Here is a 25,532-nt window from a genome sequence, read left to right as displayed (position 1 = left end):
AAAAACAAACAAACAAACAAAAACCCTGTAAAGGGGAAATTATTATATACTTTTTAACTGACAAAGATCAAAGCCCAAAAATAATTCTGTAAATATCCCAAAATCACACATGTCAGGAATTGACTTCAGAATCCCTCTTCTCTTTATTAGGTAAGCTTAATGCCACATGTCTTTAAGTTTAAAAACATATTAATACAATTAAAGGAACTCATCATTATAAATTCAAATGTATGCAAAACAAGTTATGTTATTATAATGAACTCTCACATCCAACAAATATTGAGGGAAAATGTGAATCACAAGCTTTGTAAAAACTCTTTAAAAGACTGAAAAATGCCTGAATTCTGATTTTTCTCCCTAGGCCTTTCATAATTGAACCTAATCTTAACTATGGAGTAAGCTGATATTCCACCATGTTCCAATGTAAACTCTATATATTCTGCTGTGACAGTAAATAAGGAATGTAAGAAAGGAACTGGCTTTCGTTTGGTTATTATGTATTAGGCATAGTATTCAGCACTTCACCTATAGTACTGCTCGCATTTTTATACATGAGAACACCCGGATCAAGAGAAGAAAACAACTGGTCTAAAGCCCCATAGAGCTAGTAAGGAAGGGATATGACATTCAAATCTACATCTGTCTGAGTCTAAATTTTGACCTCTTTTCACTAAACTAGTCATGTCTCCTTGTGGCAACAAAATGCCTGGTTTATTTCCATCTTTCTTGCTCATGTCTACCCTCATCAGACATATTCTCCTTTTTCCCTACATTACTAACCTATTTTTCAAAATTTAACTCAAAATCCATCTCCTTCCTAAAGTCTGTCCTAATTACATTGGTTTACATTCAACTTTCCCTTATTTAAATTTAAAACTAGTACCACAGCTCCTATTACCTAATTTTTTTACTGTGTATTAGTTTTAACTTCCAACTTGATTGAAATCTCCAAAAAGAGATGGAATTACATCTCAGAAAACCTACTACAGCAACAGATACACAAAAAAGCTCAATAAAGATTTCTAGGACATTAGGCTGTTTCCAGTTTTTTGCTGTAACAAATAAAGTGGCTATGTACATTTCTGCTTGAGGTTTTGTGTCAGCATAAAATTCATTTCTCTGAGTTAAATGCCCAAGAGTGCAACTGCTGGGTCATATGGTAAACATGTTTAGTTTTGTAAGAAACTCCCAAACTATCTTCCAGAGTGGGTATACTATTTTTAATTCCCACCAACAACATATAAGAGATTCAGTCTCTCCACCTCCTAGCCATTTGGTATTATCACTATTTTAACTATTCTAATGGGTGTGGTGATATCCCAATGTGGTTCTAATTTGCTTCTCTCTAACAGGTAATGATGCTGAATATCTTTTCATGTGCTTATTTGTAATCTGCAGCTTTTCTCTGGTGAAATATGTATTATGCATGTGGTGAAATATGAAGTATGCCTTTTGCTCATTTTCTAATTGGATCACTGAATTACTATTGAGTTTGAGAGTTCTTTATGTTTCTAAACATAAAGCCTCTGGAAGATTTGTGGTTTGCAAGTATTTTTCCCCAGTCTGTAGCTTGTCTTTTCATCCTTTTAAGAGGGTCTTTCACAGCACCAAAGTGTTTAACTTTGATTAACTACAACTTATTAATTTTTTTGATTTAGGAATTATGCTTTTAGTGTCATGTCTTCTAGCTCTTTGTCTAACACTAAGTCCTGAAGATTCTGTTTTCTTCTAAAAGTTTGTTTTACATTAAATCTATACTCTAATTGAATTAATTTTTACATACAGTGGGGGTTTGGGTTTGTTTGTTTTGCTATGGGTATCCAATTGTTCTAGCACCATTTGTTGAAAAAGATTACACTTCCTCTATTGTATTGCTTTTGTGCTGTTGCCAAAAATCAATTGGGCCTATTAGTGTTGGTCTGTTCTGGGGTTCTCTATTGTGTAACACTGATCTATGTATCTATTCTTTAACCAACACCAAATTGTCTTGATTACTGTAGCTTATATAGTAACACTTAACATCAATAGCAATTCTTCTCACTTTATTTTTCATTTTCAAAACTGTTCCTTTGCTTTTCTATCTAAATTTCAGAATAAATTTTCTACTTCTACAAAAAAACTTGCTGAGATTTTTATAGAAATTGCATTATACCTATTAATCGATTTGGGAAATCTGGCATCTTTACCGTACGAATCTTTCAACCCATGAACATGATATATTGTTCCATTTATTTAGATCTTTGATTTCTTTCCTCAGTGTTTTGTAATTTTCAGCTGAAAAGATGACAAAAGGTGGTTACCTTCCACCTTTTGCCCATTTTTTTTAATTAGCTTCTCTTTTCATTGTTGACTTGTAGGCAGGTGTGTGTGTGTGTGTGTGTGTGTGTGTGTGTGTGTGTGTGTGTGTGTAAACACATGCACATATATATTATATACTCAGGATACAAGTCTTTGGTCAGATACATGTTTTGCAAATATTGTCTCCCAGTTTGTAACGTGTATGTTCATTTCTTTAAATGTTTAGCCTGATGAGCAGAAGTTTTTAGTTTTGAGAAAGTGTAATTTATCAATTTTTAATTATTATATTTGTTGTATCCTAAGAAATCTTTACCTACTCTAAGTCATAAAGATATCTTTCTAAGTTTTCTTCTAAAAGTATTTTTTGTTTTGTTTTGTTTTGTTTTGTTTTTTTAGATGGAGTTTCGCTCTTGTTGCCCAGGCTGGAGTGCAATGGCACGATCTCATCTCACCACAACCTCCGCCTCCAGGGTTCAAGTGATTCTCCTGCCTCAGCCTCCCAAGTAGCTGGGATTACAAGCATGCACCACCATGCCCGGCTAATTTTTGTATTTTTAGTAGAGACAGGGTTTCTCCATGTTGGTCAGGCTGGTCTCGGACTCCCGACCTCAGGTGATCTGCCCGTCTCGGCCTCCCAAAGTGCTGGGATTACTGGTGTGAGCCACCGCGCCCAGCTCTTCTAAAAGTTTTGTAATTTTAGCTTTTATATTTAGGTCTATGACTTGTTTTCAAAACTTTTTGGAGTACAGCATAAGGCAGAAGCTAAGTTTCATGTTTTTCTCATTTGAATATCCAATTGCTGCATCATTTGTAGAAAATACTAAATTTTTCATTGAATTGACTTGTTACTTGGTTGAAAATCAACAAACCCACACATGAATGGTCTACTTCTCAACTCTCTATTTTATTCTATTGAACTATCATCTTTGTTAATACCATACTGTAATTACTGTAGCTTTATATTAAGTATTTAAATCAGGTAAGGTAAATCTTTTAGCTTTCTTAAGAGATTGTTTTTGCTGTGCATCTGAATATGCATTTTGGCTATTGCATTTCAATATACACTTTAGTATTACCTTGTCAATTACTACAAAAAGATTGCTGTGATTTTGAGACTGAGGGAATCTACACAGTAACTGACAGCTTAACAATACTGAGCTTGACAATCTATTAATGTGATTTCTCCATTTATTTAGTTCTTAATTTATCTTGCCATGTTTTGTAATTTTCATTATATAAATCTTGCACAAGTTAAAAAAAAACTTATTCCTAAATATATTACGCTTTTTGATACTACTGTAAATATAACCTTTTAAAAATTTCATTTTCTTAACTGTTTCTTACTATTATAAGATATAAAAATGATTTATTGGCCGGGCACAGTGGCTCACACCTGCAGGGAGGCCGAGGTAGGCGGATCAAGAGGTCAAGAGATCAAGACATCCTGGCCAACATGGTGAAACCCTGTCTCTACTAAAAAATACAAAAATGAGCTGGGTGTTGTGGCGCGCACCTGTGGTCCCAGCCACTCGGGAGGCTGAGGCAAAAGAATCGCTTGAACCCGGGAGGCGGAGGTTGCAGAGAGCCGAGATCGCACCACTGCACTCCAGCCTGGTGACAGAGTGAGACTCTGTCTCAAAAAAATAAAAATAAAAAAGGTTTCTCTTTATTTACCTTGTATTCTGAGACCAACTTGCTTATTATAGTTTTCTTATTGAATACTTATGTCTGTTTACATGAAAAATCATGTGTCTTCCAGTAGGACAATTTTACTTCGTGCTTTCTAGTACTTATGGCTTTTAATTCCTTTAACTTGTTGCACTGAATGAGGCTTCTAGAATAATGTTAAAAAGTAGTGAGACTGGATAGTCTAGGTACAAGTCCTTTACAAGATATATGCTTTGCAGACATTTTCTCTGGTCTATGGCTTGTATTTTTAAATTTTTTGTTTTAGTTTCTGGCATCTTCACAACATAAACAGTGCCTTTTTAAGTGTTTAAGTCTTACATTTCGATGAAGTTTAAGCTATCAATTTTGGTGGTTCCTTTTCCGTACATTTCCCATCTAAGAAATCTTTACTTAACCCAAAGTCACAAAGATTTTCTCCCATGTTTTACAGATTTAGTTATTATGCTTAGATCTTACACTTTGAGTCAGTTTTTGTATATGCGGGAGACGGGTAAGGGTGAAGATTGAATTTTTGACATACAGACGTCCACCTGTTCTAGCACCATGTGTTGAAAAGGCAAATCTTTAGCGTGGAGACATTTTTAAATAATAACTTAAAGCTATTTGACAGACTTAAGGGTTATTTAGACTTTCTGTTTCATCTTGGGCCAATTTTGGTAAGTTACCTGTGTTTTCAAAGAATCTGCCCATTTCATCTAAATTGTAAAAGTCAGTGACAAAAAGTTGTTCACAGTAGTTCCTTATTATCCTTGGATATGTGTAGCATCTATGGAGCTATCCCCTCTTTCATCCCTGACATTCGTAATTTTTTAGTTTTTTTCTCTTATACCACTTCTCTTTTGCTTAATCTGTCAATCTCAGCAGGAATTTGTCAACTTTATAGCTAGAAATTTCCCTCTAAGCTGGGCTTTGCCTTGAGTCTGCAAATGTAGATGTGTTGGGTTTCAATTACCATTCTATTTGAAGAAATTTAAATTTCCTTTGTGATTTCTCCTTTGACCCATGAGTCAGTTAAAAGAGTTGTTTTTTAATTTCAAAATATTTGCAGATTTTGTTATTGATTTTTAATCCAATTCCCTCATTGTCAAAGAACATACTTTGTATGATTTCAATCTTTTGGGATTGGTTTTATGGCACATCATATGATCTGTCTAGATGAACTTTCCATGTATAATTATGGAACTATTCTAGTGTTCAGTTTTCATAGGCTTACAATATACATAGTATATCTTTTGATGTCAACCTATTTATATCTTTGTATGTAAACTGTATTTCTTCTAGACAGCATATAGTTGGGTCTGGCTCTTTTATCCAATCTGACAATCTCTGACTTCATTAGACTGTTTGATGCATTTATATCTCATGTAATTTTTGGTCAAATTTCGGACCACCATTTTGCTATTTGTTTTCTATTCTCTCATTTGGTTTTTTGTTTCGCTGTTCTTCCTTTCTTGCTGTTTACTGTGTTTACCAAACATTTTAATATTCAGTTGCTCTAACTTATTAGCTATAAATCTTTGCCTTATTGTTTTTAATGGAAGCTCTAGAGGTCAGAATATGCATCTTTACCTTATTGTAATTTATAGATGCTATTGTATTATTTCATGTAAAATGTAAGACCTTTGTAACAGTTCATTTAAAGCCCCCCATCATCTTTTGTGCTGTTTATGTAAGGGAAAAAGAAAGCTTAAAATTAATCATTTGAGTTCATCTAGCATCACAAGAAGTTAAAGAGAAATAATTAGACCCAAATTGAGAAGAAACGGAGGAAATTAATTGAAGATGTGAGCTGAAGGCAATGGAAAAGAGAAAAAAAATACACAAAATTAAAGCCAAAAGTTGGTTCTTTGAAAAATATTTATAAAGAGTCTTTTTTTATTTTTTGAGATGGAGTCTCGCTCTGTCACCCAGGCTGGAGTTCAGTGGTGCGATCTCGGCTCACTGAAACCTCTGCCTCCTGGGTTCAAGCAATTCTCTGCTTCAGCCTCCCAGGCAGCTGGGACTACAGGCGCACACTACCACACCCAGCTAATTTTGCATATTTAGTAGAGACAGGGTTTTGCCATGTTGACTAGATTGGCCTTGAACTCCTGACTTCAAGTGATCCACCCACCTCAGCCTCCCAAAGTGCTGGGATTACGGGTGTGTGCCACTAATGAAGTGTCTTTCTGTGCTTGCTTGTATCACTTAACATAATGATCTTCAGTTACATCCATGTTGCTGCTAATGACACGATTTCATTCTTCTTATGGCCAAATAGTATTCCATTGTGTGGGTATGTATACCTTTTTTTTTAGGTATGTATACATTTTTTTATCCATCCGTCTGCTGATGGACCGTTAGATTGAATCCTTATCTTTGCTATTATGAATAGTGCTGCAATAAACATGCAAGTGCAGATATTCCTTTGATATACTGATTTCTTTTTCTTTGGATAAAACCCAGTAGTGGGATTGTTGGATCATATGGTAATTACGTTTTTAGTTTTTTGAGACATCTCCAGGCTATTTTCCATAGTGGCTATCCTAACTTACATGCCCACCAACCACGTATAAGAGTTTTCTTTTCTCCATATCCCTGCCAGCATCTGTTATTTATTTATTTATTTATTTTTTGTCTTTTTAATAATAGCCATTCTGGCTGGCAAGATGACATCTCATTGTGGTTTTGATACACTTTTTTTTTGTTTTGTTTTGTTTTTTGAGATGGAGTCTCGCTCTGTTGCCCAGGCTGGAGTGCAGTGGCGTGATCTCAGCTCACTGCAACCTCTGCCTCCCAGGTTCAAACAATTCTCCTGCCTCAGCCTCCTGAGTAGCTGGGACTACAGGCACCCGCCACCACACCCGGCTGATTTTTGTATTTTTAGTAGAGACGGAGTTTCACCATGTTGGCCAGGCTGGTCTCGAACTCCTGACCTCAAGTGATCCTCCTGCCTTGGTCTCCCAAAGTGCTAGGATTACAGGCATGAGCCACCGTGCTCAGCGTTGAGTTGATTATTTATATGGTGAAAGATAGGGATCCAGTTTCATTCTTCTGCATGTAGCTATCCAATTTTCCCAGCATCATTTCCTGAAGAGGATGTCCTTTCCCCAATGTCCTCCGTTGTTTCTGATGAGAACTGGTTATCGCTTATATTGTTATTCATTTACATGTGATGCATTTCTCTTCGGCTCCATGAAATATTTTCTTTTTCTTTGGATTCTAGTATTTTGACCATGATGTGCTTTGGTGTGGGTTTCTTTATATTTCTTTATATTTTTCCTGCTTAGAGTTTGCTGATCTTGGTAGCGTAGGCTGAAGTTTCTTCCTCAAATTTTAGAAATTTTCAGTCATTATTTTTTCAAATATTTTTATTCTGTCCTTTTTTCTCTTTTTTTGGGAATCAATTACACATATGCCAAACAGCTTAATATTATCCCACATGGCTCTGAAGCTCTGTTCATTTTTCCTAATCTTTTTTCCTCTCCATTCTTCGACTGAGTAATTTGTGTTTTCTTCAAGTTCACTGGTCTGATTTATTCAGTCTGGTGTTGAGACCCACCTAATGATGTTTCCATTTTAGTAATTATGTTTTTCAAGTCAAGAGTTTTCATTTCTCTGCTGTGTTTTCCCATATGTTCATTCAAATTTTCCTTTAGGCCCTTAAACATGTTTATAATAAATTTATAATATCTGCTTTAAAGTTCTCGTCTGCTAAATGCAAGATCTGGATCATTTTGGAGACAGTTTCTATTGAGTGCTTTTTATCTTATGGATGAATTACATTTTCTTCATATTCTGCTTATTTTTTATTGCAGACTGGACTTCATAATAATACATTGTAGACAGTCTGTATTCTTTTATGTTCCTCAGAAGAGTGCTATTTTTATTCCAGTAGGAAGTTAACTTCACCTAGTTCAACAAACTGTGTCTCCAATGCAATGGGCAGCAGTAAAATTCTGTTGAGTTCTTTTGTCTCCCTTGCACATGTATAGTTCTAGCAGTCAGCCAAGGACCTGGGCAGAATTTATGTGCAGTTTTTAGAGTTAATTCCATTCTGTAGCTTACATCTCATTGCTTACAGAAGGGAATTAATGCTAATCCCCTTACATTATTTTCCCCTAACTTTCCAGCTGCTCTTCCAGCTATTAACCTTGTCCTCTGATACTTCTATCCAGTAAAGTTCAGACTTTTTGATGTCCCAAGCAGCACATAAACTGGGGAGTGCCCTCAGGCAAAAAGCTATACTCTTAAATTTTCCCCCTTGCTGCTATCATCTTTCAGGATTACACTCCTTGCCCATTTCTATTCGATTCTGGTTTGTCTCCAATGTTTTCAAATAGTTGTTTATTTAAATTTTTTTTTCAGTTTTAGAACTGTTATCTGCGTTAGTGTGATTAAGTGATTCCACCATTTATTCAATAGTATTTATTTTAAAAGTCATACTATAGAGCATTTACTACATGTCCAATACTGTGCAAAATGTTACTTGTATGTAAAAATATAAGAAACTATCACTGTCCCCAAGGTTTTCATTCTGTTTACTTAATATATATTATATATATAATATTTTATACCAAACGAATAAAAAATGTAGAGTTATAATTACATATAAATAAATGAAAACAGTTTTCTTACTTTTCTACTGCAGATCGTTTCTGTGATTTGCTCTTGTAATTTAATGCCATCTTAGTTTCCATTCCAGTGTATACCGCAACACCTGTAAAATAAAACAAAATTGTCTCTTAAAATAATCCTCTAGCATGTTTCACAAGAAATAAATATATTTACCAGCATGAAAGCTTTTAGTGTACTGTCTGACAGTTGTTATAATTTTGCTTTTCTTTAAGTATTTTCAGAGTACTAAAAGGCTTTCTGAGTCCAATTTTGGGAAGCCCCAGTCACTCAACTGGCTAAATGGGGGAGGGCATGGAGTCCTGTTCCTGAGTTGTAACAGATACCTGAATGAAAAATTTATTACTTGAATTGGAATTGATAGAGGAAAAGAATCTGGAAAGATAAAAGTGTCAGGGAAGGCCATTACAAATACAGCAGTGTTAACAAAGACAGATATGGAAAAGCACTTTCTGTTAGGTTGGGACAATGGACTATGGCCACAGTGTGAAAAGCCCTGAATGCTGGAATCGGGGGTCTAGACATTATTCCATAACCATTGGAGAGATAACATGGAAGTCTGTCAGAGTAAATCAAGTAAGCACATGGAAAGTGCTATTTAAAAAATGTGCGCCTATTGAATGACTTTGAGATGAGCAAGGATGACAGTAGTAATGGGACTAAAACTGGACAACAAATGGAATTAGGTGAGACCAGCTTATCAAAAAACTTTGCAGCTAGACCTTGGTTTGAATTCTAGCTCTGCCACTTATTAGTTCTACATCCTCGGGTAAGTAATTTCTGTGAGTCTCAATCTTCCCATCTTTAAATGGGAAAAAATACCTCATAGAGTTGTGAGGTCTGTATGACAAATTAACAAAATGCCTAAAAACTGAGAGATGATCAATAAATATTCATTCCCATCCCTAAATAGTACAATTTGAAAAGCAATATAGAACCTTTCATGCCCTCTTCCTAAATATTTGTCCTGGAAGTTTTATCTTGACTTATTCCTTAAAGGCAGGGTATTATAACTCAAATAGAGATTATAGAAACGTGGTAAAATAGCCAGAATGATCCAATAGGGAGAGGTGGTACTGAGGCAAAACAACAGAAGACAGACCCATCTAAAGGCATTCAAATTCACATTTTCTTTTAAGAGTGTACAAAATTTGGACCCCATTCATTATGGTTTACTTTAAAGTAAACAGGAGTGACGAAGTTACTACTAGAAAGATGTGTTGGCCGGGCGCAGTGGCTCACGCCTGTAATCCCATCACTTTGGGAGGCCAAGGCAGGTGGATCACTTGAGGTCAGGAGTTCGAGACCAACCTGGCCAACGTGGTCTACTAAAAATACAAAAATTAGCCGGGCATGGTGGCACATGCCTGTAATCTCAGCTATTTGGGAGGCTGAGGCAGGAGAATTGCTTGAACCCGGGAGGCAGAGGTTGCAATGAGCCGAGATCGTGCAACTATACTCCAGCCTGGGCAACAGAGTAACCATGTCTCAAAAAAAAAAAAAAAAAAAAGTTTTAAAGTACAGTGTTATATTAGAGGATCTAAAAGCCCTCAAGGTTTACTCTGGTTTCTGCTATTAGAATATTTTTACAGATTTCTTTTTAATTGTGGAAAAACATATGTATTTACCAGTTTAAAGTGTATAATTCAGTGGCACTTAGTACGTTTATAATTTTGAATTTTCATCACCCCCAAAGAAAACCCTGTACCCATTAAGCAAACATTCTCCATTCTCCTCTACTCCCCAGCCCCTGGAAACCACTAATCTGTTTTCAGTCTCTATGAATTTGCCTATTCTGGGTATTTCAAATAAATGGAATCATACAACATGTGGCCTTTTGTGTCTGGCTTCTTTCACTCAACATAGTATTTTCAGGGTTCATCCATACTGTAGCATGCATTAATACTTCATTCCTTTTTATAGCTGAATAATATTCCATTATATGGATATACCATATTTTGCTTATTCATTCATTATCTAATGAACATTGGGCTATTTCCAACCTTTGGCTATCATGAATAGTGCTGCTATGAACATTCTTGTAGAAGTTTTCGTTTGAACACTCATTTTCAGTTACTTTGGGTATATATGTAGTGTGGGATCATTAAGTCATATAATTCTATATTTAACTTATTGAAGAACTGCCAAAACTATTTTTCAAGGCAGCAGCTGCAACGTTTTACATTCCCATCAGCAATGTACAAGGGTTCCAATTTCTCCACATCCTCACCAACACTTGCTATTTTGTGTTTTTTTTTTTTTCTCGACATATGGACTTCTTTATCAGAGAGTCTAACACTGAGAGATAAGATATAGTACAGGTAACAGAAAAAGAGCAAATGGGAAAGAAGATCTCACAAGCTGCAGACAGCCAGTGGGTAACACAGTGGGCCAAGATACTAAGGGCCATTCCTGAAATGTGAGGAGCTAGCTAACAGCTAAAGGTTATCATCAACTTCACAATTTGCTTATAGTTGACTCAGAGTGTACTGTATTAATTTAGATCTCCAAGACAAGAGCAGTACTTATTCATCCTTTTGATCCATCTCCAAGGCAAGAGCAGTACTTATTCATCCTTTTGATCCAATCAGTGTATGTTCCAATAGTACCTAGTATATATTCAGATATCAGTAAATTTGTTGAATGAATGTATGAATGGATAAATCTGCAGTTATTAATCCAATCTAATAATCATAATGAAATTATAGAAGTGGTTTACTGTACCATGATACCATATTATATTGGTTCTCACCCACCATTACTAGAAGTGTTATATAAATTATCTGCACTCAGTTTCACAAGTATCCGTAAAGATAACATAAGATCAAGGTTCTAGTCTACTATTAAAAAACAGGGATCATCAACAAAACAAAAGTTCAATACACGACTACTGTAATACAAACTTTATAAGAAAATTATCATAAATGACAAATAATTAATAAATTATCTAACCAAAAGACCACATTGTACTTTTAAAAGTACTTCATATAAAGCATCAACACAAATCAATAATTTAAAATGTTTAAATATGTACAAACCAAAAATTTCTTTTGTGTTTTTTAATCTGGCTCCACGAAGCAGGAGACTCTCCGGCCCCAGAGGTCTAGGAAAAAAAGAAAATAACCATAAAGCACTGAATATATTAAAAACTCTTCAATTCTGAAATGGCATCTTCAGCAGAAGGTACTTAAGCTATAGCCATAACACCACTTTCATATAAAACCAAAATCCCAGCTACTATAAAGCTGCCCAGGGGCCGGGCGTGGTGGCTAACGCCTGTAATGCTAGCACTTTGGGAAGCTGAGGCGGGTGGATTGCCTGAGCTCAGGAGTTTGAGACCAGCCTGGGCAACATGGTGAAACCCCGTCTCTGCTAAAATACAAAAGAAATTAGCCAGGCGTGGCGGCATGCGCCTGTAGTCCCAGCTACTCAGGAGGCTAAGGCAGGAGAATTTTTTGAACCGTGGAGGCGGAGGTTGCAGTGAGCCGAGATTGCGCCACTGCACTCCAGCCTGGGTGACAAGAGTGAGACTCCATCTCAAAAATAAAAAAAAATAAAAAAAAAAATAAAAAAAAAAAGGCTGCCTAGGCTAATCATGATGTTAGTTACTGTAACAACAAATACCTGCTTTAAGATTAGTGGCTCAGAAAAATGATTATGCATGTAAATACAGTCACAAAGCCACTAGTTTCAAAATTTTAAACATAAAATTCAGCAAAATCAAAGAGTAAGCAGCGATTTAAAAATGTGTGGCAGAAGATGAAATTTTAAAATTTTAAAGCAAAGTTAATAAACAGCTTTGAAAGGGAAAATAAAGAATTAGAACACAACGTAAACATAAACTATAGTATGATTTGCATATAAATGGATGAATTCTGCACAATTATACTGAATTATAAAATACAAAGTACAAGGTATGTTAGTGCTTTTTCTAGGCAAGATCGCACAGTATAACTTGACTACTTGCATTGCATACTTCTTGAAGCACAGGTCTTCTTGCTGTTTGAATTTCTCTCCATAAAGGAGATATAAAACGACAAGGAATAACTAGAAAGGAAATTGATCTTCTTAGTGATAGCAAAATAAGAATCTTCTATGGAAAAGTTAAAAAGCAATTATTTTGTTGCTATTCCTTATAGTTTTCTGAAATATGCATACACAATTATCCAAACCAAACAGAATCTGAACCATTTATGAAGACACCTGCAAACCCAAACACTGTAAAAAATTGCAATGAAGCAAGGAGAACCAATACAGTCATATTTGGAGTACACTCCATGGATAGTCCAAATCAATATGAAAACTATTTTAGGAGCTATAAAATAGCTCTTTTTCACTCAGTGTTGCTTCTAACAATAAACAGAAATACTTTTAGCTCACACTGGCATGTAAAATTGGGATATAATGACAACTTCAGATTAAAAGATAATTCATCAGTTTGGTCAGGTTGTTTTAGTAGAGAACATGGTTCATTTTTTTAACCATTCTAGGGGCTGAAGTAATATAACTGCTATTTTCCTTTACATATTAATGCAACTCAGACTATGTATCCACACATTTCTCACTATTTCCCTATAAAAATCAAAATAAACCTAGGCATAGTTATTCAGCAGGGATCGTACACATACAAAGATCTTGCTACAGTGTTTACTGAACATGCTCCTATGTTAATGCTTATTAAAAATGTGAATCAATGTGAATGTATGGTATTTTTGCTGGCTTGTCTTGAGGATTTCATTAAAAAATGCTCAACTCTTTCTGTTATAGTGACTTATTTCATGCAGCCAGTATAAACTGAACATGTCCCCAGAAAAGAGGTAGAATGTCAAATGCGATTAGAAACTCAAGAGCTGATTCCAAGATTGATTCCAAATAAGGTTAACGCTCATGAGTAACAACGTAATCATATCCTATCAGCATGTCTTTGAACTGACACAAAGCCTTTCATTTAGGAGCCATTCATTAACCCAAATATTGAGGGAAAACAATCTGAAACAACCAAGAAAAATAAAAATCAGAAAAGTAAGTAAGCGGTTCTGGATTGACCACTAAACACCCCAGCTTGCACTGAATGATTCTGAAGTGAAGAAGAGCATAGCACTTATACTTGTTAAACATCATATAAAACATTTTTCATATTCTAGACTTACTAGGCATCGTCGGTTTAAATGTATAAGGAGTGCAAAAAAGCAGCTATGTTTCCTTTTAATATTACTACCTAGTATTATCAGAAAAAGAAATGCAAAAACACAAATAATCTTACTAAATTATTCTGATATCATTTCATGGGATTTGTTTCATCCTCACTTGCTGCTGCCACAAATTACTAGCAGATGAAATGCAAAGTGCTTTTAAATTAACCCTTTCCTGGAAAAGTTTGGGTATTAATGGAGAAAAGGAGAAATAATAGCTGAGGGTAAATGAATGAATAAATGGGTTACAAGTTGAGGGAAATCTAACATTACATTAACACCTTGAAAGAGGCTCAGAGCAAGAGATTACATTGTCTCTTAGCTCAATAATACCAGATGCCTGAAAGAGTGAAGCTGTCTGTTTGCTGAGACCACAGCTGCTTTTGGAATCTGAGAGGACTGGTAAGAAGCCTGCAAACCTGAGTGACCTTACTCTGAGAGATACTTATCCACTATGATAGACTGGACTAATTATTAACAACTGAATGGGATTCTAGTAATGTGGCAATATCTTCTGAATTGTATATTCTTTTGATGTAAGGGATTTGTGTTTGAAAACTAGGGGATGGCCTGTGATGTTATGATACATACATTAGTTTTCATCCGTGGTCCCTGGCTCATAACTCCCATAGCCCTTGTTACAGTCTTTTGTTATAATGTTGGGTGTGTTCAGCCTCAGGAGCAGGCTTCTGACCTTCTCCTGCCCTCCTTTCACCCCAAGGTAGGACTCTACTCTTCCCCCACCTTTCTAATTGTGGGTCTTAAGGCCATCCCCAGAGAGGGTCCTTCCTGCCCTATACTCTGGAGTAAAGAAAGCTGATGTCATGAAGCTTCCATAAAAAAACCAAGAGAAATGGGATGGGAGGGCTTCCAGAGGTTTCTGGAGAGTGGCACGCCCAGGGAGAGCACGGAAGCTCCACAACCCTTCCCCAGTATCTGGCCCTGAGCATCTCTTCATCTGTATGCTTTGTTTACATTTAGTGGTTTATTATAAAGGATATGATAAACCAATCAGAAAAGTAAGCAGTTCTGGGTTGACCACTAAACACTCTAGCTTGCACTGAATGATTCTGAAGTGATATAATAAACCACTAAATGTAAACAAAACAAAACAAACAAAACACAACAAAATTAACCCTTTCCCATGATGGGCTGCTTATTTACATAATCTCCCTTTGGAACTTCTAGTCCCTCCCCCAAACAGTTCCCATTTAAAGGTAATTAGATAACACAAATTAATTCTTACCTTACAATTTCTTCCATTTGTTGGGTTATGATCATTCGTCCCATGAATCTATCAAAAAATTCACATTACAAAAACATATAATATCACTTATGACATCAATGGCTGTTTTTTTGCACCATCCTTTGTTTTTTTTTTTTTTTTTTTTGAGACGAGTCTTGCTCTGTCGCCTAGGCTGGAGTGCAGTGGTGCGATCTCGGCTCACTGCAAGCTCTGCTTCCTGGGTTCATGCCATTCTCCTGCCTCAGTCTCCCGAGTAGCTGGGACTACACGTGCCCGCCACCACACCTGGCTAATTTTTTTGTATTTTCAGTAGAGACAGGGTTTCACCATGTTAGCCAGGATGGTCTCGATCTCCTGACCTCATGATCCGCCCACCTCGGTCTCCCAAAGTGTTGGGATTACAGGTGTGAGCCACTGCACCCGGCCTGCACCATTCTTACACATGAAACAAAAATCAACCATTTGTATATATGAATGGTCCAATATTCTTGCTATAAATCATTTTAAAAACACTTATCAGTCCTTAAGCTTTAAAAAATTTAGAATTCTTGCTATCTCTACTCCAGCTATGAATGAGGTAATGAATAAATGTTTTCAAAATGGCAAGAATCTGGATCATTTTGGATTTTGAATTTTTGGATTAGGGATATTCAACCTGTAATTCAATCAAAGGGTATACAATGTTTACTCTATCAACTGTCGACAAATACACAGTAAGGCCTGCAAGATGACAGATACTGTTCTAGGTGCTTGAGATCCATCAGTGAACAAAATACACAAAGATGCCTGCTCTAGAGTTTACATTCTAGTGGGAGAGATGGTAAGCAATGAACATAATAAAAAAGTAAATTACACAGTATACTAGAAAATATTATGTATTATGAAAACAGAAGAGCAGAACAGAATAAGAAGGATCAGCGTGCGTACTAAGTAGTTAAGGTAGGCCTCCATTGAGGAGGTGATTTAAGCAGACTTGAAGGTGTTACTCAAGAGTTAGACAAGGGCTAGGTCTAGTGACCAGGTGGGAGTAGACATGGTATGTTCAAGGAAAACTAAGGAGGTCAGTGTATGGGCAGGATGAGCTAGAGGTGGAAGGACAGCAAACAGGGCAGAGAAGAAAGGTTGGGGATGGGGGATGGGGGCAGATCCTAGAGATGGTTATAGACATATGGGCTTTGACTCTGAGTGACATGGTGAGCCACTACAGGGTTAAGCAGAAGAGTCACATGATCTGACTTACATTTAAAAAGGAACACTATGACTGCTTTTGTGAGAACAGACTATAAAATAGCAGTAATCCAGGCAGGAGATGGTACTGGCTCAGACAAAACTAGGAAAAGATGGTCAGATTTTGGATGTATTTTGAAGGTAAGCCTTCAGAATGTTCTGATGGGTTGGGGTGAGATGTGAGTAAGGAGGTGAAGAAAGACGAAGGGAGAGGAGATGTGAGGAGTCACGGCTGATTCCAAGGTTTCTGGCCTGAGCAATTGGAAGGATGGACTGTATCAACTGAGATGAGAAAGACTGCTGGTAGAAAAGGTTTCTTTCAGGAAGATTAGCAGTTTAGTTTTCAGCTTGATTATTAATTTGAGATTTCTACTAAATATCCAGGTGGAACTGTAGAACAGGCAGCTGAAGTTTAGGAAAGAAGTCTGGGATAGAGAAATAAATCCGACAGTCAGCAGCATGTAGACAGTCTTTAAAGCCAGGAGGTTGGGTGAGATCACCAAGGGAGTGAGGGTAGATAGCGAAAGGTAAGGTAGAGAAGGAACAGTGCAAGTCCTGGGGCACTCTAACAGGAAGAAGACTGGGACAAGAGGAAAAACTAGCAAAAGGGACTGAGACAGAGGGAATAGTGAGGTAGGAGGTAAACCAAGAGAGGGGAGTGTCCTGGAAGACAAGTTAGCAAATTGTATCAAAGAGGAGAAAGCAATGAACTATTCAACCACTAGATTTTGAATTGGTGAATTTACTTGTAATGAGGTACCATACAGTATTTGAAACAGCAAAACAACGAAAGGAGTCAAGTATGGAAAGGTTGGGGAATGGTTAGGTTCTAGTACATGCACTTGGACTATTCATAGCCATTTAAAATGATCATTAATTCAGCTTCCTGCAATATTTAAAAAAAGGTCAAGAATACCGTTCACTATAATGGAAAATACTTTTTAAAATCACAAAACCAATCCACATTCTTAAAAGAAATATTAGGCTGGGCGGGGTGGCTCACACCTGTAATCCCAGCACTTTGGGAGGCTGAAGTGGGCGGATCACTTGAGGTCAGGAGTTTGATAACAGCCTGGCAAACATGGTGAAACCCCATCTCTACTAAAAATACAAAAAAATTAACAGGGTGTGGTGGCACACACATATAATCCTATCTACTTGGGAGGCTAAGGCAGGAGAATTGCTTGAACCCGGGAGTCCGGGGGTTGCAGTGAGCTAAGATCGCGTCACTGCACTCCAGCCTGGGCAACAGAGCGAGACACTGTTTCAAAAATAAATAAAATAAAATAAATATTTAAAAAATGGAAAAGAAAAAGATGATTAAAAATCAGTAGAAATCCTACCACGAGAATATTACTAAATTTTGATCTACAATTCCTCCAGGTTTTTCTTTCTGCAGCTATCAATGATTCCATCTTGTCACCTAACTACCTATTTAGTACATATATACACACATTTATTTAAACATTTAGGTTCAGGGGTACATGTGCAGGTTTGTTATATAGGTAAACTTGTGTCACAAAGGTTTGTTGTACAGATTATTTTGTCACTCAGGTACTAAGTCTAGTACCCAACAGTTATTTTTTCTGCTCTTCTCCCTCCTCACACCCTCCATCCTCCAGTATGCCCCAGTGTGTGTTGTTCCCTTGTGCCCATGTGTTCTCACCAGTTAGCTCCCACTTATAAGTAAGGATATGCAGTATTTGGTTTTCTGTTCCTGTATTAGTTTGTTAAGGATAATGGCCTCCAGCTCTATCCATGTTCCTGCAAAAGACGTGATCTCTTTCTTTTTTGTGCCTACATAGTATTCTGTGGTGTATATGTACCTCATTTTCTTTATCCAATCTGCCACTGACAGGCATTTAGGTTGATTCCATGTCTTTGCTATTGCACACACATTATTTTTACATAACTGGGATCATATGAGAGCCCCAACTTTGTATCTTATTTCATTTAACATTATATTTCAGTATGTACCTATATCATTCAATTCTTTAAAAAGATTTTAAATATCTACATATATACCTATCTAAGCATTTTCCTACTTGGACATATAAAATGTTTGCAATATTTCACATGTAATATATGTGTGTGTATATATATATATATAATATATAGCACATATATGTGTTACAAGCACATAATAAAATGAAAGATATAATTTTATATAAATACTGTCTCTAACTTCTATGAGTTCCTCAAGGAGGGAAACTATTCCTTTTCATCTTATTCACCTATCACAATGAGCACACAGATGCTAAACAATAATTTGTTAAATGAATGAATGAATAAAAATGGCATTCAAAGATTTTAAGTAGTGATATAATTACGAGTTTTCTTTCTACTATAAAAGCCTGTTGCAATGATTACATTTTACTTATATTTAAAACAAAACACATACTTCCAATAAGAGAAAGTGTTTATTTAAAAAAGTTTTTTCAAACTTTCTCCCCATGTTCCAAGATAATGTAAAAACCATACACCAAAGCATTAGTTATACTTCATCTCATATTAATCTTATGCTTGCTTAGTTCTTAGTTGTCCATTTTCTGGTTTTTAATAATTATTTTACAATCTGCCATTGCCTCAGACCAGGATATAACAGCAATATAGAAATCTTAAAATTCTTCACAGTTAAATGTCTTACAGTCAGTCTATCAAGTGCTTTTAAAGCATATGATTCCAAAGTTTTTAGTTATTTGGCAAATTCTATACTGCATTTGACTTTGATGAAAGTATACAATTTTTATAACATCACATAGAGAAAACCTCCATTATAAAGATGGATCCAAAAAAAAGATACGTAAGTTTGGAAAAGCCAACGGCTAAAGACTTTGAAACATTTCAACCAACAGGGGGAGATATATAATATGACAAGAAGCTGAGGGTGATTTCTACAAATTTGCTGTAATTTATAGTCTACCACCACTTATTGAGTAAAAATGAACTTAGTTAATCGTTTAATTTTTTAATAATAAAAAGTTGTTTCCATTCCACAGCCCACATATAATTGGTAGGATTACTGAAGATGATCACTGAAGGTATACAACACTGTGTTTAGCAAACTGTAATGTTAAAAGCAGTTAGTTCCTCTGTTCCTTTCTCTCCTTTCAGAAACAAGATCTTTAAAAATCTAACAAACTAGAAAAATAGTTTTTATTTTGTGTTCACTGTGATAGATAATAAGATGAATAATAGTTTCTGTCTTTGAGAAACTCATAGCTGTTATATATTTATAGAAAATTATTTTTTACTTTATTATGTGCGTGTAAGTAAAATATTGAAAACTTTATAAGGTTATAATTTAAAAGTAGTATCCTCTAATTTAAAAGCAGTATCCTCTATAGTGGTAAAAACAAAGACATAGTCCCTGGCTTCATGGAGCTTACCAAAAAAATCATTATTTTCTTCTAAGAAAATAATCTTATGTCTACTATAACTACTGTTATAGCTACAAAGTGAGCATGCTAGTTCATAGCAAAATAGAAGGTAATGTGAAGAAACTTGTGAATATAAACTCTGGCTTTGAACTATTATCTTTTGCTTAGAATTCTAGCAATTTCTGCTCTTAGTTTTTTTCACCATTAATTGCATCTCCCACCAACCCACCCCACAAATACAGTCTCCAATTAGCTAAAGATTTCATTTTATGTTTATGGTTATTTAAAAATGAGGTCTGTAAATAGGACTTAAAATAAGTATACTGAATATCACACCATACCTGTATAAGTCTGCTTCTGGTTGCTGGCATTCTATTACAGCTACTAGAGTGTCCAAATTGGCAACTGTTTGTAATAATGCTGTTTCTGGAACTGCCACATGTGTCTGAAAAAAATGAATTAAACTGTAGAGTTTTCAGATCCAAATTGCGACCTTCAATATCAGTTATTTCAAATCTCTTTTATAGGTAAAGTAATGGCATACTGTACTTGAGATCACTCAGCTAGACAACAGAAGAGAAAGAAACATGTAAAATAAACAAGGGGCAAAGGAAGCTACTATCATTACCTGTCTAAAGAGGCCATTTGCACATAAGGAAATTAAGTCTGTGTGCATAGTCACTATTACTTTATCATAAGTAATTTAATAGGAAAAACTGTGAATTTTCACCTTTGATTACCCTCTGAAAACTGAGAAAATATAAATTTGTCCCTTATCTTTTAAAAGTACCACAAATAGTAAAAGATTATATTTTTCCTAAAAACACCTTCTGTTTTTAACTTGGATTAAACCCATGTGAGGCTACCCTTGAAATAAAGATATAACATCAATTCTTTCTTAAAACCTTTTTATTTTTGAAATAGTAATTTTAAAAACTTCCCCTTAATCTGGTCAAACTTTACTACTTTAACCAAAGTTAAGTATAATTATAATCCAAAGACACTTTGTTCACCAAGAGCAATACTCAAACATATGCAAGCAAACCTTCAGGTTAGTTTCTCCGTCCAAACTAGCAGTTGTAACGTGACAGGAACCATCCAGTCGATCTGAGGACAGAAGCACCAAGTCTGCAGGAAAAATTTCATCTTTGGCTATTCGAACAATATCACCCACCTATAAAGAATTTTGGGGAAGAGTGAATTTATAAATTTTAAAAGGCAAGGACTTACTTTTATTGGGCTCTAAAGAAGCAGCCTATCACAGTATTTTAGCATAGGAAAGTAGGCTTTTAACTAAAACGTAATATCAAGATTAGAATTATGTCCTGTGATATCAAGATAAAGTTGATTTCCATTATTTACCAGATGCATACCCGAATGTTTTTTGATCTAGTTTTTACAAGGCCACCACTTCGAACAACATAAACAGGAGCTCCATTTACTTCATTATCTGAGTTATGCCGTAACCAATCTTCATATCCCTGTAAATATCCAAAGGGTAAAAAATAATTTTTCAGTATAATTTGAAGATACTTTTATCAAATAAGAAAAAAAACTCAAAAACTTCCCTGGAACACTACATTCCAGAATCATATGAGGCTATTTGGATGCACATGCTCATAGGTATCTGATATTTGTTCCTACTGGAAACACTTGCTTCTTTTTTGTCATATACATTTTCCTGGCTTTCACAGGACCTCTAGTTATTTCTTCTCAATTTCCTTAAGGAGGCTCCTTCGATGTCACCTTTATGGATCCTTTTCTCACATTCCTCTTTCTCACTAAGAGATTTCTTCTATCCCTGTGTCTTCAAATAGTATAAATATGCTGGTAATTCCAAAATGTGTATCTCCAGCCATATATCTCTTTTGAACTCCAAACTTGAATACCTAATTGCTTTATTAATATCTCAATTTTGATGTCTCATAAATGTCTTAAACATATTCAGAACCAAACAGATGATGTCCTGAAAGTGTGCTGCATGTCCAATGTTTCCCATCTTGACAAATAACATCACCATCTACCAAGCTGTTCTTGCCAGAAATCTGGGGAGTCATTCTTAATTCCTACCCTTTTCCTAACATCTATGCAATCACTAAATTCTATTGTTTCTATGTACAAATGATATTTTAATCATAAAGTATAAATTCACAGAGCATTACAGACAATAAGTAGAAAAAAATGAGCAGATTTTTGGAACTGAGATTGTGTTCTTTTACTTTCTTAAACAACAGACTGACAGAATTATAATTAGTACAGTTGACCCTTGAACAACACAGGTTTGTACTGCACAGGTCCACTCATACACGGATTGTTTTCACTAAAAGTTATACTGAGTGTACCTAAATCATCTTCCTCCCTATTCACCTCCTCTACCTCTTGTACCTCTGCCACCCCTGAGACAGCAAGACCAACCTCTCCTCTTCCTCCTCAGTCTGCTCAATGTGAAGACAAGGATGAAGACCCTAAACACGATCCATTTCCACTTCATGAATAGTAAATATATTGTCTTCCTTATGATCCTCTTAAAAACATGTTCTTTTCTCTAGCTGACTTTAAGAATACAGTATATAATACATATAACACACAAAATATGTGTTAAATGACTGTCTTATGATATTGGTAAGGCTTCTGATGAACAGTAGACTATCAGTAGTTAAGTTTTGGGAGAGTCAAAACTTATACATGAATTTTCAATTGCATAAGGGGTTCCCCTAATCCCTGCATTGTTCAAGGGTCAATTGTGCTTAACAAAAATATGTTAGCCTGTATGGATCATCACTAGGAAGGAAACAGACACAAGCATTTCACAAAGAATCTTTTGATTAAATATTAAGGAATGGCGATCTTTTAAGTGGAAAAGACTTCCTATGCCATTTTAAGAAAATTCAAGAACTCAGAGATACGGCACAAGTATAGATAATGGAATCATATCTAAGAAAGAGTAAGTGAATAAAAAGGTAAGGTACAGAATAGGTTTTGTTCTATGTTACCATTTGTGAAAAAAAATGCTTGCCTATGTGAACACTTTGCATAGATATCTGGACTAACTTACAAATAATTGCTCCCTGGGTAGGAGAACTAGGAGACTGGGAGTTAGGAGTCTAAGACTTACTATATTCTATTTTGTGCTGTTTCCCTTAAAAAAATGTGCATCTATTATTTTTAAAATATTATGAAATTATAAAATAAAAAGCAAAATATGAAAGACTATTTTGAAGGTATACTGTTTTCAGATGGAAACCTTGTGGGAAAGCACTCTTAAGACACCTAAATTATGTTGGCCTTATTTAAGTTGCAGTATGTCATTTTAGAGAAATTTAATTGAAAGTCAAAATATTTTTTCTGAAACTGTCAAAAGCACACTTTTCTTTACAGTCAGATGACATTAATAGCAGAGCAACGATAATTCAAACATCTTTTTTTAATACAAGCTCATAAATTCTAATCCATCCTACACATTACTGCCAGATTAATCTTCCCAAAGCATTGTCTTGATTCACTATCCTGCTCAGAACCCCTTCAGTGATTCTCAATGCTTACAACAAAGCATCTTCTGGCTTCCTTAATTTAGAACCAACCTATACTTCTATTACCTTGTAGTACTTTCCTAAATAGGATCAAACATTAGTTAGACTTACAATTCCCCAAAATAGGTCTTGCCTTTTCTTGCACTTGGGCCTTTGCCCAAGTAGTTCATTTCTACCTCATCTTCTTCCTCAACTGTCATTTTACCCATATTCCAAAACTCAATAATATTTCCTCCATGAGAATTCATATTTTCATCTATTTATCAGCAATTTGGCAATTCTTTTCTTGGAGATGATCCATGCCTTTTCCTTATTTAGGTATGTGCTCTTGGTAAAATATCTTTTAAAATTAAGATCAGCTGGGCGTGGTGACTCAAGCCTGTAATTACATCACTTTGGGAGGCCGAAGGGAGAGAATCGCTTGAGCCCAGGAGTTGGAGACCAGACCCGGCAACATGGCGAAACCCTGTCTCTACAAAAAAAATAACAAAAATTAGCTGGGTGTGGTGGCACGCAACTGTAGTCCCAGCTATTTGGTAGGCTGAGGTGGAAGGATCACCTGAGCCTGGGAGGTCAAGGCTGCAATGAACTCTGATTGCACTACTGCTCTCCAGCCTGGACAACAGAATGAGACTCTAAAAAAGATAAAATTAAGGACATAGGCCCTTTGTTACACAGAACACAAATTTTTCAGTTTCATTTTTGCTTTTAATATTATTCAGACTTCTTTTAAACACTCACATTTTATTTTTCCTATATGATACCTTTCCTTTCTTACACCAGTAGATTAACTGATTAATTCCCAAATTGAAAATGAGATAAAATTTCATCTGTATTTACTTCTATTATTTTGTAGTTATGTATATTCAGCTTAGTAATCCAAATGTTTTATTTTCCTATATGGTATGAAGTATGAATCCAACTATTTTTTCTAAATATTCAAGTGATTATCATATCACAATTTATTGTCTGATATTTTACCTACTGATTTGAAATATGACCCTTACTTGAATAAATTCTTAAATTTATTTAAAAATAATAATAATAATATTTCCTCCACAAAACCGTCTCTGATCATCCAGATGAAGTGTTCCCTTCCTTCTCTGAATAGCTAGCTACAGCTCACTGGATTTTACTACTACTCTATTGAACCATAATTATTTTTATATTTGGTCTTACCTTCCTATTTCATAGGTTTTAGAATCGTGGAGGGCAAAGACTATCTTATTTCCTACAGCACTGTATCTTGCATTACACAATTGGAGAGAAGACTTAATATGTAAATACAGTTGGGAGAAGCTAAAAACAAGCAAACAACTGACAACCTCATTCATATTAAAGTGTAAGTAATTGATAATGGAGCCTTTTCCTATTTTGATAGAAGTACAAAGGGAAAAGGCAGACTAAAAGGGGAGAAGACAAGAAAGAAAGGTTGGAACATGGCAACTTTCACTTTTACAGTTTTTCCAAAATTTGTTCTATTGATCTACAGTAATAAATAGATACATAAATCTGAACAATATATGGAAGTATTCTGTGTATTTAAATGAGAAAAAGTTAGGAATAGTTGTTGCAAAAGAGAAAACTCTGAGTGTCAAAATTTTGTTTTGAGTTAAGGAGAAAATCTTTGTGGTTCAAATTTTCTCTTTGAAAACTATATGACCTTTTATATTTCCCCCTTTTGCCTTAGTTATGAAGCTCTCATCTAAATTTAGTACTCATATTTAATAATCATACTAACACAGGTTCTAGGCATAACCTTTTTGCTTTCTGCCTTTATTCACTTTTACTTAAACCAATTTTGGAAGGAGACTGATTGTCAATTATTATTATGATTATATTAAACTCTTACTTGTAGATAAAAATTCACCAACTTTTTTTCAACTCAGTTAATGGTATCATATTCCAGTTAAATGCAGTCCATATTTGGCCAAATATACATTGGGAAATAAGGACAAGAGGTATTGCAACATTTTACATGGCTTTAAAAATATCCAATAAGTTCATTCATTCATTTATTCATCTGTTAAACAACTACTGAAGGCCCAATATGTGCATGGTCTTGTTCTGCTAATGGGAAATAAGCAGGTATATAGAATAAATTATCTGGCACCGTAGAGCTAGACATTCAAATGAAAGTGACGGATAAACTAAAATACCAACTTTTATCAATAGAACAAAAGAATAAATGATATGAAGGAAAAAAAGGACAGACTAAGAAATAAGAGTGGCATGGTGGTCAAAGTTTAAGTATAGAGTAAAATGAATTGAGAATGCAATTATCTGGCAGAAGAACTTTCCAGGAAGAAAGTACAGCAAGTCATAAAATCTTGAGATAGGAGCATGCTTACTGTGT

The 25,532-nt window shown here is 35.3% G+C and overlaps 1 protein-coding gene and 1 pseudogene across 5 annotated transcripts in view; one reads left to right on the top strand and one right to left on the bottom strand.

Moving 5' to 3' along the window:
* The window catches only part of ATP11B (ATPase phospholipid transporting 11B (putative)), a 128,126-nt gene that overhangs the window by 64,468 nt on the left and 38,126 nt on the right, over window positions 1–25,532 (bottom strand). For all 5 annotated transcript variants that reach the window (XM_047447784.1, NM_014616.3, XM_011512593.3 and 2 more), the window contains 6 exons: window positions 21,020–21,127; window positions 20,692–20,820; window positions 19,988–20,091; window positions 15,040–15,087; window positions 11,640–11,704; window positions 8,605–8,686 (listed from right to left, as the gene is read on the bottom strand). In XM_047447784.1, the coding sequence (XP_047303740.1) occupies window positions 8,605–8,686; window positions 11,640–11,704; window positions 15,040–15,087; window positions 19,988–20,091; window positions 20,692–20,820; window positions 21,020–21,127 (536 nt within the window). The remainder of the gene's footprint in view (window positions 1–8,604; window positions 8,687–11,639; window positions 11,705–15,039; window positions 15,088–19,987; window positions 20,092–20,691; window positions 20,821–21,019; window positions 21,128–25,532) is intronic.
* EIF3EP4 (EIF3E pseudogene 4) lies at window positions 12,542–13,589 on the top strand (annotated as a pseudogene).

Source organism: Homo sapiens, chromosome 3 (assembly GCF_000001405.40).
Source record: "Homo sapiens chromosome 3, GRCh38.p14 Primary Assembly".
In the NCBI taxonomy this organism is placed as follows: Eukaryota; Metazoa; Chordata; class Mammalia; order Primates; family Hominidae; genus Homo; species Homo sapiens.
The sequence above is the reverse complement of the archived record's forward strand: the minus strand, read 5'-3'. Positions and strand labels throughout refer to the sequence as shown.